This window comes from Homo sapiens, chromosome 4 (genome assembly GCF_000001405.40).
Source record: "Homo sapiens chromosome 4, GRCh38.p14 Primary Assembly".
NCBI lineage: Eukaryota > Metazoa > Chordata > Mammalia > Primates > Hominidae > Homo > Homo sapiens.
The window spans coordinates 121,471,218-121,492,685 of record NC_000004.12 but is presented as its reverse complement, the minus strand read 5'-3'; the positions used below and the strand labels follow the sequence as shown (position 1 = coordinate 121,492,685).

At 36.4% G+C, this 21,468-nt stretch overlaps 1 long non-coding RNA gene across 1 annotated transcript in view; it reads right to left on the bottom strand.

Moving 5' to 3' along the window:
* LOC107986309 (uncharacterized) overlaps positions 1-21,468 on the bottom strand; it is a 123,175-nt gene that overhangs the window by 22,926 nt on the left and 78,781 nt on the right. The window contains exon 2 of the long non-coding RNA XR_001741806.2: positions 2,641-2,695. This is a non-coding gene — a long non-coding RNA (uncharacterized LOC107986309). The remainder of the gene's footprint in view (positions 1-2,640; positions 2,696-21,468) is intronic.

The following is a 21,468-nucleotide window of genomic DNA, read 5'->3' as shown; positions in this document are numbered from 1 at the left end:
TCAAGTAGGGAGGCATAAAGCTTAAAATTTTCACAGTTGATGAGCTTATCTGATGTATAATATGATACAAAGCTTGATGGAAGAGTTAGTTTCTTCTACAATTACTTTCTTGCATTAGATGCACTCTGCCGTAAAAGGGGTCCCTTAAATTTCTCTTTCTGCTGGGTAGCACCTGGTCCATTGTAATTGTTTTCAAGCCTTCTTCAAACTATGTATTCCTATGGTAATAATCAAGTCAGGCAGGTATATGGCCAGAAGGGGCACCATAGTTGCCCGCCTCCAGGCTGTATCAGGTTCCTGGAGATTGCCCGGTCCTGCTGTTGTCAGTCCTTGCAGATATGATTGATTCATCATTCCACCAGAGTGGTAGCAGTTGCCTACTACAGGATTACCAAGAAGAGTCCTCTGAACATATCCTGGCACTGGCCTATCTGGAAAAAGAGCTGAACTTTTGGCAATTGCAATGTGATCTATAACAGATATATCTATCTCTATCTCTATCAATGTATATAAAGAGGTGTAGAAATAGATATACTAAATATATTTATATATATATCTACTAAACATATCTATATACATCTATATCCTACAATAGATAAAGATAGACATATATATCTAGTATAGAACAGATTAATCAATAGAAAGATATAGATATGTGTAGTATAGATCACATATAGACAGATTGATAGATCAATCAATAGATAAATATAAATAAAGATATATGAACTAGATAGATATTTATACCAGTCTTTGACCACCTGTAGAAAGATACTGAATTAGGGTATAATTCTAAATTTCTTTAATGTAGATAGGAATGGCTAGCTAAACTTCGCGTGATTCAACTTTCTATGACTCAATAAAAGAGATACTTTTTGGGTCGTTGGACCCACATACAACATCCTTTATTTATAATCTACTCCTAACCTACAGAAATGGATCTCAGCTGCCATTATCTAGTATGGAACCAAATCTCCCCGGCCATAAATGATTGGATTAGGGATAAGCACGCAATTCCACTTGTTCTATATTTAATTCTATATCTAGTGAATTTGAAATTGAAAGTGAAACACACTAGGTATCTTGGACATTTAAGAGCCACAGGTACCTCATACATATAAGATGCTTCAGATGTGCATGGAAATAACAAAAGAACTTAGAACTTCGGTCCACACAGAGAGAGATGAAAGGAGGGAGGTGAGGAGAGAGAGAGAGAGAGAAGGAAGGAAGGAAGAGAGGGAGGGAAGGAGGGAGGAATGAGGAAGGAAGGGAGGGAGAGAAGTTTGAAACCTCATGCCCTTGAAAACTATGAAAGGATAGATTCCTTGGTTCCAAATGGCTTTCTAGTGCTTTGTTCATTGAGTAGCTCTTGAAGCCTGTTTGCATCCCTGCCCTTGGATTAAATGAAATATTAACATATACCTAGAATAATTCCTGTTTAATGCTAAGTTAGGAAGGTCACTGCCATGCAGAATATTCTTTCCCATGGAAGACATGTGGATTATGAATATGAGTTGTTAATGGCTCCTCCTGGAACATGTTTGCTGGCAAAGTTCCACACACTGGAAAAGCAGGAAGTAGAGTTGGGACTCAAGGTATCTTAAGACTAGAACAGATGTGGAGCCAGCCTGATCCTATGAAGGGGCCTCATATCTCTTATAGTTTCCCCTGTGTGAATACACACATACTCAGCAAACCAGCACTGAAGACAAGCTTTTCCCTCTTCCTCTGCATCAGGCCCTTTACACTGGAATTGAGGGGCTTAGCTGTCTTTTGGTTATGTTTTCCTAAGACCTGGCCACAGGAATGGGGATTTAATTATAGCCTTAACTGTTCATCCTTAGTGAGGTAAGTCATTTATAGCCTTAACTAATTATCCTTAATGAGACAAGCCAATTAAACTTGAACATTTAATATGGTGGATTATGTTGACCAGATTGGAGGCCTTCAATCTGTAGTATATCTGAGTCAAAATATATTTCTTTTCTCAGATCCTAATATATTTTAAAAGAGAGAGAAACAATCGCATGTTGTACAGAAAAAGGTTTTGGAGTAAAATATGTAAGAAGATGGCTAGTCAGGGTCTAGAGAAACCAATTTCAGATGGTATTTTAATGTGTTGTTTCAGAAAGATCCCTTATAAAAGTAATATATTTGACATTGTTATAAGCTTCAGATAAATTAACTTATTCAGTATTTGTGCCTTATCTATTTCCACATGGATTTGAAGCAAACATAAAGAACTAAGTTGCTCCACAATATCCATGAAAGTTTTCTTGATTTATTCCCCACATACATTTCATATTTTTCTGCTAACAGGAAAGGCCACTGACATATTTAATTAAAATGATAAAAGACTGAATTTGGAGTGTGCTCATTTGTCATTATTTTCTACTTATTAAGAGAATTTGAGCCACCTTAAAATAAAACTCGTATCACAAAATGGCTAAGGAGAATCTCAGAGATATTAAAAAACATATGGCTATTTGAAACAGGTAGTCCTAGATTATAATTCTTTTTCAGCTGCCTATTACTGCTGAATTTAGAGAAATGAATTAGCTGGCACAGTCTTCAATTTTCTCAAATTGTCCAGTGGAGTTCTCTTTTGAGGTAATGGAGCTATTGGTTTTTCCCTTTACTTACCTTCTGTGAGTTCTCATCTGATAATTTTTTGAAGTTCTCCAAACAAGGGTAATTTCTAAGAAAAGAACATAGCTATCATTAGATTCCCCATCCACATTCAAGTACCAGAGACAGAAACAGTGATCTAGAAATACCTTTCAGCTCCTCCTTATAATCCAAAGCCTCATTTCCCTTTGGCATGATTTTAATCAAACTTGTTTGAATTGTTCTTTTTCTTTTTCCTGTTTTAATTACTTGTCTGCTTTGCAGATTCCCTGTTCCTTGACTTATTTGCATCTACTGAAATACAAATTCTAGGCCAGATAGTATGAAGGTTTTTAGAAGGTACTAGTTTATTCCTTTCATTAGTAACTATAAGGTACTAAAATTGAAAATGTGGTCTTTGATAAAACTGATGGTGGCTATTACTGGTTTTGTTGGAGCCAATGAGTTGGCAAGAAATAACAAGTTTTCATTTTTTATTTTTTCTAAGTTTCTAAAATATTTTAAATCATACTTCATCATGATCCATTTTTCTGTTGGTATTAAAAATTCTGCCAAATTATTCACTGCAGAGATAAACATAAACACATTTTAATTAAATGATTTAATGCAGAAAGTTTTTAACTTTCTTAGGTTGGAACTATTGCTTTGCCTGAAGTATTTTTACCTAAATGAAATAATCAAGTGAATATGTGTCAGAAATGCCACATTACTGATTGAATATCCCAATAAGTTGTAATTTTTTGATTCATGTGAAAATGCTAATAAAATTCAGCTACAGTGAAACTGCATTTATTTTTCTTCTGTAAGCAAAACAAGTGAACCTAAACCTTCAAAACTATTTACATAGGGTTTAGCCTGGACTAGAGAGATATAAAGACAACATCAGGCTTGAAATGATTTTAAAATTCAACCAGGAATAGAGGGCCCTTGGAGGATACTAAGACATTTTGTTTTTCAAACATCATTTTTATTGAATGACTTGAAGGTTAATATAATCTAGTCATTATATTACAAATTACCATCCCATGAAGGAATTATGTGCGAAGTTAAACAGACTAGGTGTGAAGACAAATCATAAATGTGGGATATAAAGTAGCTCAAATAAATTGAAGTGAATATCTTAGACTTTTTTTGTGTGCTGAAATGACAAATCTTTGGTGGGCTTTTGTCACTGCAATGTGCTAAAGTAAGATTTAAAACTGGACAAAAGAGAAAATAATAAGCCTAAAGTTCATTTTGTTAGCCCCCCAAATTTGCTTTTGTCTGCTTTCTCCTCAAGAACATATAGGATAAAAGGCGAAGTTATGTTCACCTTTTATAGGATAAAGAAATATAATTTCACCTTTTATCCCACATCAATGTATAATTAATCTGTTGGTTTGTATTTGTTGAAACACTAGGATGCATAGGAGACCATAAATTGGCTTGGAAAACACACAGGGAACGGCAGATAACATCTTTATGCCAAGGATATCTTTGAATAGATGTTTTTTGAGTGCTCAGGTATTAAGATAAATGTGCATAAGTTGGGTTGTTATTGTAATATAGGTTCCTTTTTCCAGGAAGTTCTACTCATTTCTTTACCATTTTAGGGCCATGTAGGATATTATAAGAATTAATACAACAAGTATTGAGTAAAGTAAAAACTCAGATGAATAAGTTTTCACCTCTTCAGTTTCCTCATCTGTAAAATGGGAATAAATGTTGGGCAGAGAGGCATTAAGAATACAATTTAAGTGATTGAAAGAGTTCACAGAATAAAGAAAACATTCAATATAAATTAGATATCATTATTATCACCCAATCATTTTTATTTATTAAGTGCTTTTGATATAGCAATGACTTTGTCTTAATTATGACATTGTAGGATAGTAACCAAACCACAGAGAGTTTAGATATTTGCAGCTTGTTCAAACCAAGAATCTGGCCTAAGCTTCCCTGAGTCCAGAGTGCACAATATTTTCATTATATCATGTTGCCTCACTGCCCAGTATAACAAGTAGAACTTGTCTTTAATGTTAATAGTATAGTGAAAGTAGAATATATATACAAGCAGCTAAAGAATTATTTGGGGAAGACATATTTCAAAAGAGTATGAATTGAAATGGGCATCAGATTAAACAAAGATTGTTCTAATGGAACATATAGAAATAATCAGAAAAAATAGCTACCACACACCTGGATTTAACGAGTGTTGACATTTTGCCAATTGGGATTTCGGATATATGAAAGAGAAAATTGACATATTTGAAGTCTTCTTTAAATCCTTTCCTGATCTCATTTATCCTTCTCTCTGCAAAGGCAACTACTGTCTTGAGTTTGGTATGCCCTTGCCATTTATGTTTCCTATATATATGTGTGTGTGTGTGTGTGTGTGTGTGTGTGTATTTCAATAATATATATAACTTGTGTGTGTATTTCAATAATATTTATAACTTTTTTGTGTTTACAACTTTACTACAAGTGGTATCACACCTATACTTTGGCAACATGATTTTTTTACACATTGCTTTAAATATTGGTATTAATTTTATTATACCCAATTTAATCATTTAAAATTTTGTATAGTATCCCATGTATATACTAAATGTATATACTTCTTATTGATAGATATTTAGATTATTTACATGTTTAGTTCTTGCAAACATTTCAATAACAACCTTGTGTATATCTTTTTGTGCCCATGTATAAAAGTTTTTCTAGAGTATATAACTGTAAGTGGAATTAGTAGATTATAAACTATGTACATCTTCAAATTAACTAGATGTTGCCAAATTGATTTTAGAACTGATTGTATTAACCAGCTCTGATAGGTTATGCTGGGTTAATAAGGCCACCCAAATCTCAGTAGTTTAAAACCCCAAATATTTATTTCACATTCTCGTGAAATGAAGGCTCTAGGTTAGTGGTGCCTCAGCTCATGCCTGAGGGGTGTGTTTCATTCTGGCACCAGATTGCAGGAAGAGTTCCTGTGTGGGACATCCCTATTTTACAGCAAAGAAGAAGAGCCGGAAATGCTGAGTTGAACCTCTGATCCCATTCTGTAAGCCAAAAGTGAGTCCTGTAGGTAAGACCAACATCTGATCCCATTCTGTAAGCCAAAGTGAGTCCCGCAGGTAAGACCAACATCAGTGAAGCAAGGCAGTTATTCCACTCATAGGAGTAAAGAGTGGAGTGTGAATATTTGAGAACAATAATGCAGTTGACTTCAGTCCAAGTTTTTTTTTGTCACAAATATTCACTTCCCTTCCCTCCACAGGCAAAATATACTTACTTCCCTGTCCAAGGAAGACAACACAAGTCTTACCCAATCACAGCATCAAGATCAAAGATTAGTTTGTTTTATTTTTTCAAGATGGCAGATTAGAGGCTTTTAGTGTGCCTCAGCCACTTGGAAATAGCAAGATAGTGCATAAAGATAAACTCCCTAAGCTTTAATTCAAGAAGGAATGTAGGAACCCACCAGAATTATGAAGGACATCCCAGATCCCGGGGAGGAGTGAGTGAAGTGAGTGAAGCCCCCATATGCAAAAGAGGCAGAGAACCTCCCTCTGTGACTTACAGGGAGAGCTGAGTGACCTAGGCCAAGGGAGAACACTTCATTTCTCCCAAGTCTTGAAGCTAACTTGGGGAGAGGCTTGGAAATGCTGTGAGGGAAACACACCAGGAAAAGCTACAGGCAATTTCCAAGATTTAGGACCAAAAGCAGAAGGCCACTTTTAATCCAGGCTGATACAAAGTCAGCCATTCTTTGGTGCCTCAGCAGTATGGCCACGCAGACATTTGTCTTGGGCCAGAGATTGGAATGTCTGCTCTGGAGTGTGGTAGGGGCCTCCATAGACAGAACTGTGGAAAGTGCCTCAGCGGTAGGTTGTGGAATTGTGCTCTCCCTGTCATAAGCCTGGGGTGGGAGGAGAGCTGCTACAGCAGCAGTTTTTCCTAGATGAGATGTGCAGCCAGGGCCAGATGTGCAGTTCCAGGTCACCTGGAACCAGTCTGTGTGTGTCATTGCTGGGTTCCCCAGGCTGCTCCCCTAAGGTCGTGGTGCAGCAGGACCCACTCCACTTCACCTCCAGGCAGAAATACAGGCATTTGGAGTACCTGCCAGCCTGGACCAGCAGCTTGGGCTGCCCGTCTTTTCATAGACATAGATTGTGGTGCAGTGGGGCCATCTTTGCTCTATGCCCAGGCAGATCTCCAGGTATTCAGAGCACCTCCTTGCCTGGATCAGTAGCCTGAGCTGTCCCACCCTTCCTGTACATAGGTTATGGACCAGGGGGGCCCTCTCTTCTCCACAGGGAGGTAGATCTCCAGGCATTTGGAGCACTGGCTTGCATGGTCTAGCAGCCTGAGTTGACTCAATCTTTTTGCACAGAGCTTCTGTACAGGAAAGCCCTCTCTGCTTCATGCCCAGACAGATTTCTAGGCATTCAGACCACCCACTCATCTGGTTTAGCAGCCTAAGCTGCCCCACCCTCCCTCAACATAGATCATAGTGCAGTGAGGCCCTCTCTACTCCACATCCAAGCAGATCTTTAGGCATTCAAAGCACCTGCTTGCCTGGATTGGCAGACTGAGCCGCCCACCCTCTTGTGCAGATAACAGGTATGGGGTGGGAGGACACTCTGCTTCATGCCCAGGCAGATCTCCAGGCATTGGGAGCAACTGCTTGCCTGGAACAGCAGCATAAGCACCCTTCCCGGCGTAGGTCATGGCATATCGAGGCCCCCTCTGTTCCAGGTGAGTAGATCTCCAAGCATGTAAAGCACCTGCTTGCCTGGATTGGCAGCCTGAGATGGCCCACCCTTCCTGTGCAGAGACACAGGTGCAGGGGGTCTCTTTCTGCTTCATGCTCAAGAAGATCTCCAGGCATCTGAAGGACCTGCTCATTTGGAATAGCAGCCTGAGTCACTCCACCCTTCCTGTTCAGAGATCCTGGTACAGGGGGGCTCTCTCTACTCCACACCCAGGCAGATCTCCAAGCTTCTGGAGCACCCACTCTCTTGGAGTAAGAGTTTAGGCTGCCCCCCATCCTCATGCAGAGAGCTTGGGTCAAGGAGGTTTCCCAGCTCCACAACTAGGCACATCTCTGGGTTCTCCCTCAGGGCTGTTGCCTGTGCCTCCCATCAGGGGACCTGTAGGGGGACCTACCCAGTCTGTCCCTGCTCATCTTGCCCTCCAGCTCTCTGGAGATGAGGAGGGAGCTCAGAGTACTGTGCACTTCATGAATCAATCCATTGCCTGAGGCAAGAGATCTCCCAGTAAACAGTAATCAAGTATATACCCAGCTGCATTGGCCACAGCCGGCTCTTACTCCTAAGGGCCACCTACTGGCCTGTAGGACAAACTGCACAGCCCAATGTAAAACCCAAGGACAGAAGTGCATAGGGAAAAGCAAAACCAAAGTCCTACAGCATTCTCTAAAGTCACACTCTATCTGGAGCAGGGAAAAGGAAAGAACAACACCACCAAAAATATCAAAAATATTATAGGGAAAGAAAGAAAAAGAAAAAATCTTACCCACATGAAAATAATTACAATAATTAGAAGTGCCACAATGTCTCCAAATAAGAAGGGACCAGTGTAAGAATTTTGGCACCATTAAAAACATGAATGTAGTGACATCATCAAAGGATCACACTAACTTTCCAGCAATGTTCCCTAACCAAAGTGGATACCCAGAAATGACAGATAAGAATTCAAAGCATAAATTGCAAGGAAGCTCAATGAGATCCAAGACAAGGTTGAAAATCAACATGAAGTAACAACTTCTAAAGCAATTCAGGAAATAAAAGAAGAGATAAACATCTTAAAAAGAAAACAATCAGAGCTTCTGGAATTGAAGAACTTACTTAAGGAATTTCAAAATACAATGTAAATCTTTACCAATAGACTGGATCAAGCAGAAGAAAGAATTTCAGAGCTTGAAGGCCAGTCTTTTGAATTAGCCCAGTCAGACAAAAAAAAAAAAAAAAAAAAAAAAGGCAAAAGAATTTTAAAACACAAAGTCTTCAAGAAATATGAGATTATGTAAAGTGACCAAACCTATGAATTATTGGAATTCATTAGAGGGATGGAGAAAAAGAAAACAACCTAAAAAACATACTTGAGGAAATAATTCAAGAAAATTTTCCTAATCTTGTTAGAGAGGTAGACATCCAGATATAAGAAATTCATAGAACGTCTTTCAGATACTGTACAAAATGAACATCACCAAGGAAAATAGTCACTGGACTGCAGAAGATCAATGCTAAAGAAAAAAACTCTTAAAAGCAGCTAAAGAAAAATATCAGATCATGTACAAAGGGAACCCCATCAGGCTAAGAGTGGACTTCTCAGCAGAAACCTCACAAACCAGGAGATATTGGAAGCTTAGTTTCAGCATTCTTAAAGAAAAGGAATTCCAACCAATAATTTCATATCTTACCAAAATAAACTTCATAAGTGAAGGAGATATAAAATCTTTTTCTGACAAACAAATACTAAGGGAATTTATTACTGCTAGACAAACCTTACAAGAGATATTCAAGGGAGTCGTAAATTTAGAAACAAAAGCATGCTGCCACACAAACCCACTTAATTACATAGTTCAAAGACCCTATAAAGCAACCACACAATAGAAACTACAAAGCAACGAACTAACAACTTCATGATATGATCAAAGCCTCACATATCAATATTAACCTTGAATGTAAGTGGTCTGAATATCATACTTAAAAGGCACAGAATAGCAAATCGAATTTTAAAAAAAGACCATCCATCTGCTATCTTCAAGAGACCCACTTGACACGTAATGACACCCATAGGCCAGAAGTAAAGGATTGGAGAAATATCTATTACAAAAACAGAATGCAAAAAAGAACAGAGGTCACTACTCTTACATCAGATAAAACAGACTTTAAACCAACAACAGTAAAAAAGAACAAGAAATGCCATTACATAATGCTAAAGGGTTCAATGCAATGAGACTTAATTAACCTAAATATATATGCGCCCAACACTGGAACATACAGATTCAAAAAACAAGAACTTCTAAACTTACAAAAAGACTTAGCAACACAATAATAGTAGGGGACTTAAAAACCTCAGCAACAGCATTAGACCATTGAGGCAGAAAACTAACACAGAAATTCTGAACATAAATTTGACACTTGACCAATTTGACTTAATAGACCTCTGTAGAACAATCCACTCACCAACCACAGGGTATACATTCTTCTCTTCTGCATACAGAACATACTCCAAGATCAACCACATGCTCAGCTATAAAGCAAGTCCTATTGAGTTGAAAAAAAGAGTAAATCATATCAACCATGCTATCAAAACACAGTGGTATAAAAGTAGAAATAAATACCAAAAAACTCTCAAAACTATACAATTACATGGAAATTAAACGACATAATCCTGAATGACTTTTGGGTAAACAACAAAATTAGGGAAGAAATTAAAAAAATTCTTTCATGAAATAAAAGCAGAGACACAACATACCAAAACTCTGGGATGCAGCAAAAGTAGTGTTAAGAAGAAAGTTTATAGCACTAAACACCTAACTTGAAAAGTTAGAAAGATTTCAAATTAATTATCTAACATCCCACCTAGAGGAACTAGAGAAACAAGAGCAAACTAACCTGAAAGCTAGCAGAAGAAAACTAAAAGAGCACAACTGAACAAAATTGAGACCTAAAATTTCATACAAAGAATCAACAAAATCAAAAGTTTGTTTTTGAAAGTATAAACAAGATTGTTAAGCTATTAGCTAGGTTAAAAAAGAAAGAGGAGAGAAGATCCAAATAAGAACAATTAGAAATGAAAAAGATGGCATTACAACTGATCCCACAGAAATACAGATGATCCTCAGAGACTATTACAAACACTGCTATGCACACAAACTAGAAAGCCTAGAGGAAATGGATAAATTCCTGGAAACATACCATCTTCCAAGATAGAATCAGCAAAAAATCAAAACCGTGAATAGACCAATATCGAGTTACAAAATTGAATCAGTAATAAACCTACCAAAGGCCGGGTTCGGTGGCTCAAGCCTGTAATCCCAACACTTTGGGAGGGTGAGGTGGGCAGATTACGAGGTCAGGAGATCGAGACCATCCTGGCTAACACGGTGAAACCCCGTCTCTACTGAAAATACAAACAATTAGCCGGGCGTGGTGGCGGGTGCCTGTAGTCCCAGCGACTCGGGAGGCTGAGGCAGGAGAATGGCGTGAACCCGGCAGGCGGAGCTTGCAGTGAGCCGAGATCGCGCCACTGCACTCCAGCCTGGACGAGACAGCAAGACTCCATCTCAAACAAACAAACAAACAAACAAACAAACAAAACACAAAAAAGACCCTACCAACCAAAAACAAGTTCTGAATCAGACAGATTTATAGTTGAATTCTAACAGATGTACAAAGTAGAGCTGGTACCAATTCTACTGAAACTATCCGCGCCCCCCTCAAAAAAAAAATCGAAGGGGAGGGACTCCTCTGTAACTCATTCTACCAAACCAGCATCTCCATTTTGTTAAAGCCTGGCAAAGACACAATGAAAAAAGAAAACTGAAGACCAATATCTCTCATGAACACAGACGCAAATATCCTTAGCAAAATGAATCCAGTAGCACATCAAAAAGTTAATTCACTATGATCACCTAGGCTTCATTCCTGTGATGCAAGGTTGGTTCAACATACACAAATCAATAAATGTGATTTACCGAATGAATAGAATTAAAAACAAAAAACCATATGATCATTTCAATAGATGTGGAAAAAACTTTTGATGATATTCGACATCCTTTTATGATAAAAACCCTCAAGAAACTAGGCATCAAAGGAACGTACCTCAAAATAGTAAGAGCCCTCTGTGACAAATTCACAGCCAACATTATACTGAATAGCTAAAAATTGGGAGCAGTCTCCTTGAGAACTGGAACAAGACAAGGATGCCCAGTCTCACTGCTCTTATTCAACATAGTACTGGAAGTTCTTGCCAAAGCAATTAGGAAAAGAAAGAAATAAAAGGCATCTAAATAGTTAAGTAAGAAGTCAAACTATCTCTCTTCACTAACAATATGATTCTATACCTAGAAAACGCTAAAGACTCTACTGTAAGGCTCCTGGAACTGATAACTTCAGTAAAGTTTCAGAATACAAAATCAATGTACAAAAATCAGTAGCATTCCTATAAACCTATAACATTCAAGCTGAGAGCCAAATCAAGAATGCAATCACATTTACCATAGCCAAGACTCCACTACTGATTATCTCTGCAGAAACACATTTTAACAACTATTTGCACACACAAAAAAGCATCTTCTTAAGAACCAAAAATCAGAAGAGCAATCACAGTACTTAATTTTAACTTTATATCTCTGAAAGAGGCACTGAAAAGAGTAGAAAAGACACTCTTGAATTGCTGATGCCATTCCTCCCCACTTCCTTAGTAGTGGCCACGTGGCACGGAGAATCTGTACTTAGGGGAAGGAGAGCACAGTGATGGGGGACTTTGCATTGAATTCAGTGCTGCTCTGTCATAGTTGAAAACAAAACCATGCTCAACTCAGCTGGGACCTTCTCACAAGGGAGCATTTGGACCAGACCTAGGCAAAGGGGAAGTGCCCATACCAGCAGTTGGAACTTCAGTTCTGGCAAGCCTTGCCACTGTGGTTTAAAGTACTCTGGGGTCATAAGTAAATTTGAAAAGCAGTCTAGGATACAAGGACTGCAATTCTTAGGCAAGTCCTGATGTTGTGCTGGGCTTAGACAAGTGGACTGGGGCAGTGAGTTACCTAGTGTGACAACAGATGTCACAGGAAAGGGAATGCTTATACTGCCTTTCCCACAACCCCAGGCAGCGCAGCTTGCAGCAACAAAAATGACACCTTCCTTTTGCTTGAGGAGAGGAGAGAGAATAGTAAAGAGGACTTTGTCTTGCATCCTGGATACCAGCTCAGACACAGTAGACTAGGGCACCAGGCAGAGTCATGAGGCCTCAGTTCCACACCCTGGCTCCCAGATGACATTTCTAGACACACCCTGTGCCAGAAAGGAAACAGCTACCTTGAAGGGAAAAATCCAGTCTTGGAAGGATTACTCACGTGCTGACTAAAGAGCCCTTAGGCCCTGAATAACCAGCAGTGATACCCAGATAGTACACCATTGGCCTTGGATGAAACCCTGAGCCATGCTGGTTTCAGGTACCAGCTTAGCCACAGTGCAGCAGAGCACCAAGTGGGCTCTTGGGGTCCCCAAGTCCAGGCCTGGGCTCTTGGACAGCATGTCTGGACCTTTCCTGGGCCAGAGGAGAGCCCACTGCCCTGAAGGGTGAGTCCCAGGCCAAGCAGCACTCACCACAAGCTGACTGAAGAGCCCTTGGGCCTTAAGTGAACATTGGGGTGGCCTGGTAGAACCCCCTGTGGGCCAGCAGTGGTGATGGCCATGGGGAGGGGCTCCTCTGTCTGTCAAAAGGGAATGGAAGAGCGGAAAGGACTTTGTCTTGTGGTCTGCATGCCAGATGCCAGCATAGCAGCAGTAAAATAGAACACTAGGTACATTTATAAGGTTTTTTGACTCCAGCCTTATGGTGTTTGCTCCCAAACAGCATCTCTGGACCTGCTCAGGGTCTGGGGGAACTTGCTACCCTGAAAGGAAGAACACAAACCTGGCTTACTGACTGCCACCTACTGATTGGAAAGCCCTGGGGCAGTGAATGTTTATTTCCTCTCTTCTATTTCTGTTTCCTATTTTTGGCACACTTACACTTTAAACCTTGGAGTTCCTGGATGTATTCTCTAATCTTTTGTAGGATATTTTACAATGAAATATTCTATATAATTTAAAGTGACATTTATCAACATGGACAAATCTTTCATAGTTAAGTGGGAAAAGTAAGTGACAAAGAAAGTATAAAATTAAAACAAAACAATTTTTAGAAAATCCAAACAAAACGAAATTATGTGTGTATGTATACACATATGCATGTATATTGATGCATACGCACAAAAGAATGAAGCTATTTGTTAAGAATAAAAATTATCAAATATTAGAATTATTATTACTTTGGGAGGAGAGTAAGTAGGAGGATGAAATTGGAGAAGAGTACAAAGAAATTCCAAGATTACTGATATTTTATTTCTTAATCCATGATTGGTACATGAATGTTTAATATGTTTTGTGTATTTTTATATGTTTAAAATATTTAAAAATAATTTTAAAAGCTCTTAAGGTTCATTTCTGGCCTGAATTCCCTATTCCTTTCTTGCTCCTGAGGACTTTCTTTTCTTTCTTTGAAGTTTAGCTATATATTGATTTTTCTTTTAAAAAATTTTCCAATATTTTTATGTTTGTTGTTGGTTAGAAGCCCTGTCTGTATCAGCTCTTCCTGGCAATATTGCTTGAAACGAGTAAGTTAGTAGATATATGAGTTTCCTAGGCTGCCGTAACAAAGCACCACAAACTAGGTAGCTTAAAATAATACAAATATATCACAGGTCTGGAGGCTATGCTGGACCATGCTCCCTCTGAAGGCCATAGGAGTTGAATTCTTTCTTGCCTCTTCTACCTTCTGGAGGTTTCCAGCAATGCTTGGCATTTCTTGGCTGGTAGATGCATCATTCTAATCTCTACCTCCATAATTCCATGGTGTTCTTCCTTGTGTGTCTCTGTGTCCAAATTTTCTCCATTTTAAGAACACTAGTCATTGAATCAGGGCCCATCTTAACTCAATATAATGAACCTCCATCTTAACTCGATTACATCTGCAAAGACCCTATTTCCAGCTCAGGTCATATTCACAGGTACCGGGTGTTAAGGCTTCAACATATCTTTTTGGGAGATACAACTCAACCTTTAACAGAAGGTATACTCTTTTTTATTTGTTGGAAACCTAGAAACTCATTTTTAATATGTATCACCTTCATTTATCAGTGTTATCCTTAAATGTAAAATCTACCAGCAGTGGAGGGCATTGTGACGCTCTGGATAAATGGCCTTCCACAGTGTAGAAAAAGGATACAGCAGAGAAGGAAAGTCTAAATAGAATTGGACTTAAAGGAATTAATTAATAAAATTTCTAAATCAATAAATAAAATTTGGACCTCTGTGTGGAGTCCTAATTAGGGAAAAGAAGTCAGGCCAGTAGGAGCAGGGGAAAGTGAAAGAAAAAACAGATAAGTTATAAAGTCTGCCTTTTTCATGGTCCAGGACACATCTTCCTGCACCCAGCTATTACTAGACTCTTGGCTGATAGAAAAATACAAGTTAGCTCACTGCAGCCTTGGTGTTACCAGTACTGCACAAAGCCCTTTTCAGCACATAGCACAAGCGTCATCCTATAAACATCTCCAGCAAGCCTCTGTCTCATTGCAGTCAGCTCCTTTCTTGCTGTCCTGCCTGTTGCACTCTTGCAGTGTATTTTCATACTTTCTCTAATAAATCTGCCCTTGTCTTGGTAAATTCTTCTTATCACCTGCATGATACTGGCACTAGATAGTCGTGACCTGTGACACTCTGAAAGTCTAATAAAAGTAAACTAGAGTTAGTATATTAAATTGTATTTAAGTGATATGTATTTATCTGCCATCTTAGATTTCTGTTATGTTCTTATTTCAAGTTTTGAATAGCAAGAATATGCTTATTTTATGATTATCTTTTTTCGGCTTTTTATTTTATTTTCATCTCTAGTCATAGGCTTTTAATAAAATGAGAGTTGTTTAGTAGGTAAAAGCTATACTCATGTCTCTTTTCATATAATTGTGACAGCTCTGATTTCTGAGAATTCATTATGTTGGTGCAAAATAGGAAGAAAAGACATTGATGCATGACATTATTATTCCACTGAATTTGATCTACTTTAGACTCCAGAATGCCAATGTGAGTGAAGCAAAGATTTCACACCTTATATGTTTTTTTCTAGGGAAAACAGGTTGAGGTTGAATGCTTGTGTATAATAGCAGTGGAAGATTAATAATAATTCAATAAAGCAACACTGTAACAATGTAAGCATTGGGAAGATATGTGCTAAGAAGAAAGCTTATGTTTCTTTATGTATGGTAATAAAGTAAAGAAACAAGAATGAAGTAAGAAATTGGTAAGAGAAAGAAGAGGGATGTTAATTGCAGGCTTTTGGGAGACACAAATGCTTTTCCAAATAAACAGAATGTATATTTTACTATGGCTGTATAAGACAGTTGTAAATGTTCAGAGTATCTCTACAAAACTACAAAATCTTCCAGTAAAGAGATGAGTTTTTTTTATTATTTTTGGTGGCAATTCAGGGTTTCCATAATTTTATGTTACCTTATGTTGTAGCTATTCAGTTTAGCTTCCTAATTGTCTGTCTCTTTGTACAAAAACATATTCCCTCATCTTTGAAATAGACTGAGGGATAAAGAGCAAAGAAAAAAGCCGTATTAATTTGAGTTGAAATCTTGTATTTGAAAAATACTTAACTTTAGTAATATTAGTATTATATTGGTGACTCTAGGTCATAGGTCATAGGATCTAAAGGTTCCTGCCTAAAGGTTCTAAAACCATTTGATCCCTTAAGAGGCTTGTTATAAGCATGATTTATTTCCTTATCACTATCTAATTTGAAATATCCCTCTCTTCCTTTTAAAATTTGAAGTCTTTGAGTAAGAAACAGGTGGCTGGGAAAATGAAAAGTCAACATTAAAATTTTCCAGTGGCTAATTTATTCTTCAAATGTTATTTCACTTCTCTAGGTGCCAGCCACATGCTGGGGAGGTGCTGCTATAAATATTTTCTGTTGCTCTGCATCACATTTTTGTAAGGTAGATATTTTTAGCTTCAATTTAATAAGAATATTTACATTCAGAGAGGTTAAATAATTTACCTAAGGTTCTTCAGTTTGTGTATTGGAGCAAAGGGATTTAAAACACATTACACAAGTATATGTACTTGGAAGGGTGGGTTATAAGTCTTATTATTATGTATGAAAGTGCTAGAAGGAACTGTGGTGTAAAATGTTTTTATTCCTTCCTATAAGTATAATATTTAGAATTTCTCTTCTTATTACATTTCATTTTATGAAGTTTGTTAATATCTTGAAACATGTACACACATATCTAAAATTTTACATTAAGTATATTTATCATGGTGTTGAATATACATTTTAGTGCTGACCCCACCTTTTCTGGCATTAATCTTCCCTTTTTGCTTATTCCTTTCTCGTTCCCTGTGAGCTCCTCCCATCTCCATAATCCACATTAATAACACACTTTTCCATATTTTCTTCTATATACTGTATATGGATATAGTGGTTTTACTTGTCATTGTTTTTTAAAAAAATTGGATCACATTATGTATGCTTTCTTACATGTTGCTTTTCTCACTCACCAGTAACTCATGGAGCATTCTCCCAACTCATATAGTTCTACGAGTTCTATGTATTTAATGGCTATATCATATATCATATTTAATAATGTGATTAAATGGAATGTGTGGTAATTATTCAACCATTTATTGACATTCACTTTGTTTTCCATTTTTTGTCACTATGAACAATGCTGCAATAAACATTCTTGTACATATCTATTTCTTTATCTACTGGTTACTTGATTATCATAATATAGAATCCCAGGAGTGGGATTGCTGGATCAAAACCTATATTGCCTGATGGCTTTCAAAAAAGACATTACAATTCACAGTTTCCTCAGTAATTAAAGAACATACCTTTCTTCCAAATCCCTAATAGCAGTTTTATTACATATTTATATCTTTATATTTTGATGAGTAAAAAATGATAGCTTGCTGTTACTTTAGATTTTCTGACTTAGCATTTTTCTCGTGTGTGTGTGTTTGTGCGTGACACACACAAATACATATATACAAATTGGCCATTTGGACTGTATTATGTGTTACAAGTTAACGTATAATACCCCGAGACAATATAATACAGAAAAGTGGACAAAAGATAGAAAACAGAAAATGCTATGATAATAAGCATATTATATAGTATAGATATTAACCCTCTACTGTCATAGATACTACAACTATTTTTGCAAGTATATTATCTTTAGACTACATTGTTTATAATATTTTTTACTACACTAAAACTTTCATGCATAGTCAAATTTGTCTGTATTTTTCCTTCTAGTTTGTGGGTTTCTGGTATTAGTTAAGAGGATCTTTCCCGCCCCTGGATTATATTTTTAGCCTCCTAAATTTTATTGTAAGCATTTTTTATTTGTTTTATTGTTTCATTCAAATTCTTACCCTATTGGAAACATATTTTTTACATATTGTATTCTATAAGGATATACCATGATTTTCTTCCATATAGATAGTTATGCTACCATCATTTAGTAAGTTATCTATTGATTTACCACCATTTGCATTACTACAGTGAAAACAGTCAATATGCCACATAAAATGTCAATCAATGATGAAACACGTTGTTGGGTGGTCCCATATAATTATAATGGAGCTGAACAATTCCTATTGCCTAATGACACTGTAGTCAGCAAAACATCATAGCGCAACACACTACTTACATGTTTGTGATGATGCTGGTGTAAACAAACCTACTGAGCTGCAAGTCGTATACAAGTATAGCAATACAATTATGAACAGCACGTAATACTTGATAATGACAATAAATGACTGTTACTGGTTTATGTATTTACCATACTTTTAATTGTTATTTTAGAATGTCATAACAAAAATGTTAAATGTAAAATAGCCTCAGGCAGGTCCTTTGGGAAGCATTCCAGAAGAAGGTATTGCTATCCTAGGAGATGACAACTCCATGCGTGTTACTGCCCCTGAAGACCTTCCAGTGGGACAGGATGTGGAGGGGAAGACAGTGATATTGATTATCCTGACCCTAAACAGGCGTAGGCTAATGTGTGTGTTTGTGTCTTAGTTTATAACTGAAATATTTGAAAAGTAACAGAAAACTTAAAATATATAAATTAGAAAAAAGCTTATAGAATAAGGATATAAATAAAATAATTTTGTACAGCTGTATAATGTGTTTGTGTTTTAAGCTAAGTGTTAAAAGAGTCAAAAAGTTTTAAAAATTTAAGCTAAGTGTTACAAGAGTCAAAAAGTTTTAAAAAATTAAAAGGTTTATAAAGTAGGGAAGTTATAGTAGGCTAAGGTTAACTTATTATTGGAGAAAGAAAATTTTTTAAAAAATTAGTGTAGCCTATATAAAGTCTTCAGTAGTGTATAGTAATGTTCTAGGCCTTCACAGTCACTCACCACTCAACTAACTCACCCAGAGCAATTTCCAGTCCTGCAAACCCCATTCATGGTAAGGGCCTTATAAAGGTATGCCATTTTCAATCTTTTATACTGTATTTTTACTGTACTTTTTCTATGTTTAGACACACAAATACTTATCTTATGTTACAATTGCCTATAGTATTGAGTACAGTAACATACTCTACAGGTTTCTAGCCTAGGAGCAATAGGCCATACCATGTAGCCAAGATGTGTAATAGGCTATACCATTCCAGGTTTGTGGATGTCTACTTTATGATGTGCACACAATGATGCAATCACCTAATGAGATGTTTCTCAGAATGTATCCCCATCATTAAATGACACATGACCATACTGAGTGTCTACATATTTCTGAGGGTGTTTTCTGTTCCCTTATCAATGCCAAATATCATTATTTGAGTTTAAGGGCTTTAGATTATCTTCAGTTCCTCTTCTTTTTCACATTTATGCTTTATTTTTGAAATTTTATTCTTCCTCATAAACTTTAAGATTACTCTTGCTACTTGTCCATCATCAGCTGCAGACTACTTTGTGTCATCTCTCTGTCATCTCTCTCCAAGGCCTGGACTGTATCCATCACTTGGATGCTGTCAGGCACATTTAAGAGGAGAAAGAGAGCGCTGGAGGTTTTGCTGTCAATGAATTCTGATTGGAATTGAAAGTGAAAATGTCACATTCTGTTACAACTCAACTGGTCACATGGCTTCACCCAACCACAGGGAAGCCAGCAAAAGCAATCTACTATATGCCCAGAAAGGGTTAAGTGAAACCATTTGGTGACCTGAAATAACGATGATAACATATAACTAATCCTTGTTAATGTTGAGCTCTATCTCTGAATTAAAATTTTTATGATTTTTTAATGATTAAAAAGAAAGAAAGCAGGAATGGCAATATTAACTTTAGATAAGGTGTAAAGTTCAAAACATTAAAGGACGTTTTGTGATGCTATAAATCATTATTTATAACTATCATAAACTGGTATGCACCAAAAATATAACACACACATTAAAAATCAGAAATTTAGACATTTTGATAAAATATGATTATATAGGGATATATAACACTTGGCTAGTAAAATTAATAAACCTTACATATTTTTATACTCATTTTATTTTTTCTTTGTAAGTAATGTGTTCTTTTTTGTCAAGAAGCTCATAGGATTTGTTTCTCTATCCTTAAGAACCTTACTTTCAAAAAGTTATGGCAAGCAGGAAATGCCTAGTTACGTCTTTCCTTCTCAATCAACTAGAACTCAATTAGCTCTTTCAGTTTCTTTGTCTTTAGCTTAATGTTTGTTTAAATTTTGCTTCCATTCTTTTTTCTACTCTAGCATTGTTATTATGTACATATCCATTTCTCTAGATCAATCCCTCAAATTCCTTATCTGTCTGTGAATAATTTTTATCTCTTTGTATTTTTGCAATATATTTGAGAATATTTCATAAACTTGGTCTTCCAGGGAACAAATTCAAATGGCAAGAGTTGACTACCCTTTAACTCATAAAGTGTATTTCTTAGTTGAGAAATCACGAATCATTTAGAGGACTCACAAAAATTTGCTTAGGCTTAACTTGAATCTCCTTAAGTGCTTTTAAAATTATTTTAAAATACTTTAAACATACAAAAATACATAAAACATTTTAAACATTCATGTAACAATCATGAGTTAGGAAATAAAATATCAGTAATCTTGGACATTTCTTTGTACTCTTCTCCAATTTCATCCTCTTACTTACTCTCCCCCCAAAGTAATACTAATTCTAATATTTGATAATTTTTATTCTTAACAAATAACTTTATTCTTTTGCACCTATGTATCAATATACATGTATATGTGTATGTGTATACATACACACAAAATTATTTTTTGTTTGGATGTTATAGAAATTGTTTTGTTTTATTTTAATTTTATACTTTCTTTGTCACTTACATTTTCCACTTAACTATGTGTTTGTAAGATTTGTCCATGTTGATAAGTGTCACTTTAAATTATATAGAATATTTCATTGTAAAATATCCCACAAAAAATTTAGAGAATACATCCAGGAACTCCAAGGTTTAAATTATAGGTGTGTCAAAAATAGGAAACAGAAATAGAGGACAGGAAATAAACAATTAAATAATTTTTTAAAATCCACAAGTCTTGAAGGACAGAAATCTCCATTTTTGAAAGAATTAACTGAGTGTCCAGTAAAATGGATGAAAATAATCCTACACCTAGAAGTATCATTGTGGAGTATTAGAGTACTGAAGACAAAAAGAATCCAAACATGGTAGCAGTTTCATAATTATAAAATTATATTTAAAAAATAAAATAATCACTATATTTCTTTCATTGTGTTGTTTATAGGATGAAATAAGTTAATATTGTGAATAGAACAATGCCTAATATAAGCAATTAATAAATATTAGCTATTATTTATATTATTCCTTTGCAGATAATATTTCTTTTGCTCTTCAGCCACCTTTCTAATCTTTGCGTTGTCTTTGTGTTCAGTTTCACTGTGATTTGTCTGGATCTGGGTTTATTCGTGTTTATCTTGTTTAAGCTTTGTTTTGCTTCCATACCCTGTGGATTCACACCATCATGTATTTT